The 1,767-nt window shown below is 51.0% G+C and overlaps 1 annotated feature.

Moving 5' to 3' along the window:
* Positions 572 to 1,459: an enhancer, noted in NCBI's record as "OCT4-NANOG hESC enhancer chr16:9077187-9078074 (GRCh37/hg19 assembly coordinates)". NCBI's record gives its function as "activates a minimal SCP1, AML or CMV promoter by ChIP-STARR-seq in naive and primed H9 embryonic stem cells {active_cell/tissue: H9 hESC(naive and primed)}" and the evidence as "EXISTENCE:reporter gene assay evidence [ECO:0000049][PMID:30033119]".

Raw genomic sequence — 1,767 nt, 5'->3', positions numbered from 1 at the left:
ACCCCTAGAAGGACTTCTAAAGGTCATCTCATCATGGGAGATGAACCAGTGTTTCCTTCTCAGAGGAAAGATGGCTTAAGATCAACCTGGGTGTTGGGGCATTGGAGCCGAAGGAGATGAGAAGCTAAATCTAATCTCCACTCAGGAGTCCAGGGTCTTTTTTTATTTAATTATTTTTTTAGAGATGGGGGTCTCATTGTGTGGCCCAGGCTGGTCCCAAATTCCTGAGCTCAAGCCAAACTCCTGGGCTCAAGCAATCCTTCCACCTCGGCCTCCCAAAGTGCTGGAATTCCAAGGTCTTCTGAAAACCCAAGTCTGATCAAGTCGACCCAGGGAGAGCCCATCCCAGTCTTCTCACTAGTCCAGAAACAGCCAGTCACGTCCCTGCAAGTGGGACACCTGAAGCCTTGGAACTTCTGCCCGTGTGGTTCTTCCCCACCATCTTTGTCTAGCCTCAAGGCTCGATTTATTTTGCATTATTATTATTATTATTATTATTATTATTATTATTTGAGATGGAGTCTCACTCTGTTGCCCAGGCTGGAGTGCAGTGGTGCAATCTCAGCTCACTGCAACCTCTGCTCCCTGGGTTCAAGCGATTCTCCCACCTCAGCCTCCCAAAAAGCTGGGATTACAGGCACCCGCCACCATGCCCGGCTAATTTTTGTGTTTTAAGTAGAGACGAGGTTTCACCATGCTGCTCAGGCTGGTCTCGAACTCCTGACCTCGTGATCCGCCCACCTCGGCCTCCCAAAGTGCTGGGATTACAGGCGTGAGCCACCGCGCCCGGCCTATTGTTTTGAGCATTCTGTATGGAGGTGAATGGACCTGCTCCTCAGTCCCAGGCACAGCATCAGAATGAGGGCAGACGTCCTAGAAACAGGGCTTGCCGCCCGCACACTCAGGATAAGAACGGCGCACACCTGGGGGCCTCTGTTTCATTTCATTGCCTCATTCCATCTTCAGAGTAACTCCACGGGGGACCATCAGTACCTCCATTGTTACGAATTCAAACACTGAGACAGACCCAGAGGGGGGGCCTCAGCCCGAGAAGCAGCGGTGCTGGCTGTCAGCGAAGCCCAGGGCTGTCTGACTCTTGGTCCCAGTCACCTCCTACAAGGTTGTCTTAGGCCCCGTCCTGGGAAGAGTGCTCTCCACCACTCTCTCCTCCCTCTGCCTCCTGCCGCTCACAGATGTGTTCATTTCTTGTCTCACTTTCCCACCAGAACGTAAGGTGAAAGGGACACTCAAAGATGAATTATCCCCTGCTGGTGGCATCACGGACACATCTGAAAGTCATTTGATTTAGGGAGAAATGAGTATAACAGACTTGAATGAACCCTTTAAAATCATGCCACTTTTTTTTTTTTTTTTTGAGACAGTCTCGCCCTGTCACCCAGGCTGGAGTGCAATGGCACGATCTCAGCTTATTGCAACCTCCACCTCCCAGGTTCAAGCGATTTGCCTGCCTCAGTCTCCCAAGTAACTGGGATAACAGGCATGCATCACCATGCCCAGCTAATTTTTGTATTTTTAGTAGAGACAGGGTTTCACCACGTTGGCCAGGCTGGTCTCAAACACCTGACCTCAAGTGATCCACTGGCTTTGGCCTCCCAAATTGCTGGGATTACAGGTGTGAGCCACGGCGCCCGGCCAAACCATACCACTTCTGGCAGCTCTCATAGTTGCTGAGGTGGTTGCTACACTTATTTTGTTCACACCTGTGTTCCCACTGCCTAGTACGATGCCAGGCACATAGTACGTGCT

Source organism: Homo sapiens, chromosome 16, assembly GCF_000001405.40.
Source record: "Homo sapiens chromosome 16, GRCh38.p14 Primary Assembly".
Lineage (NCBI taxonomy): Eukaryota > Metazoa > Chordata > Mammalia > Primates > Hominidae > Homo > Homo sapiens.
This window is presented reverse-complemented; position numbering and strand designations above follow the sequence as displayed.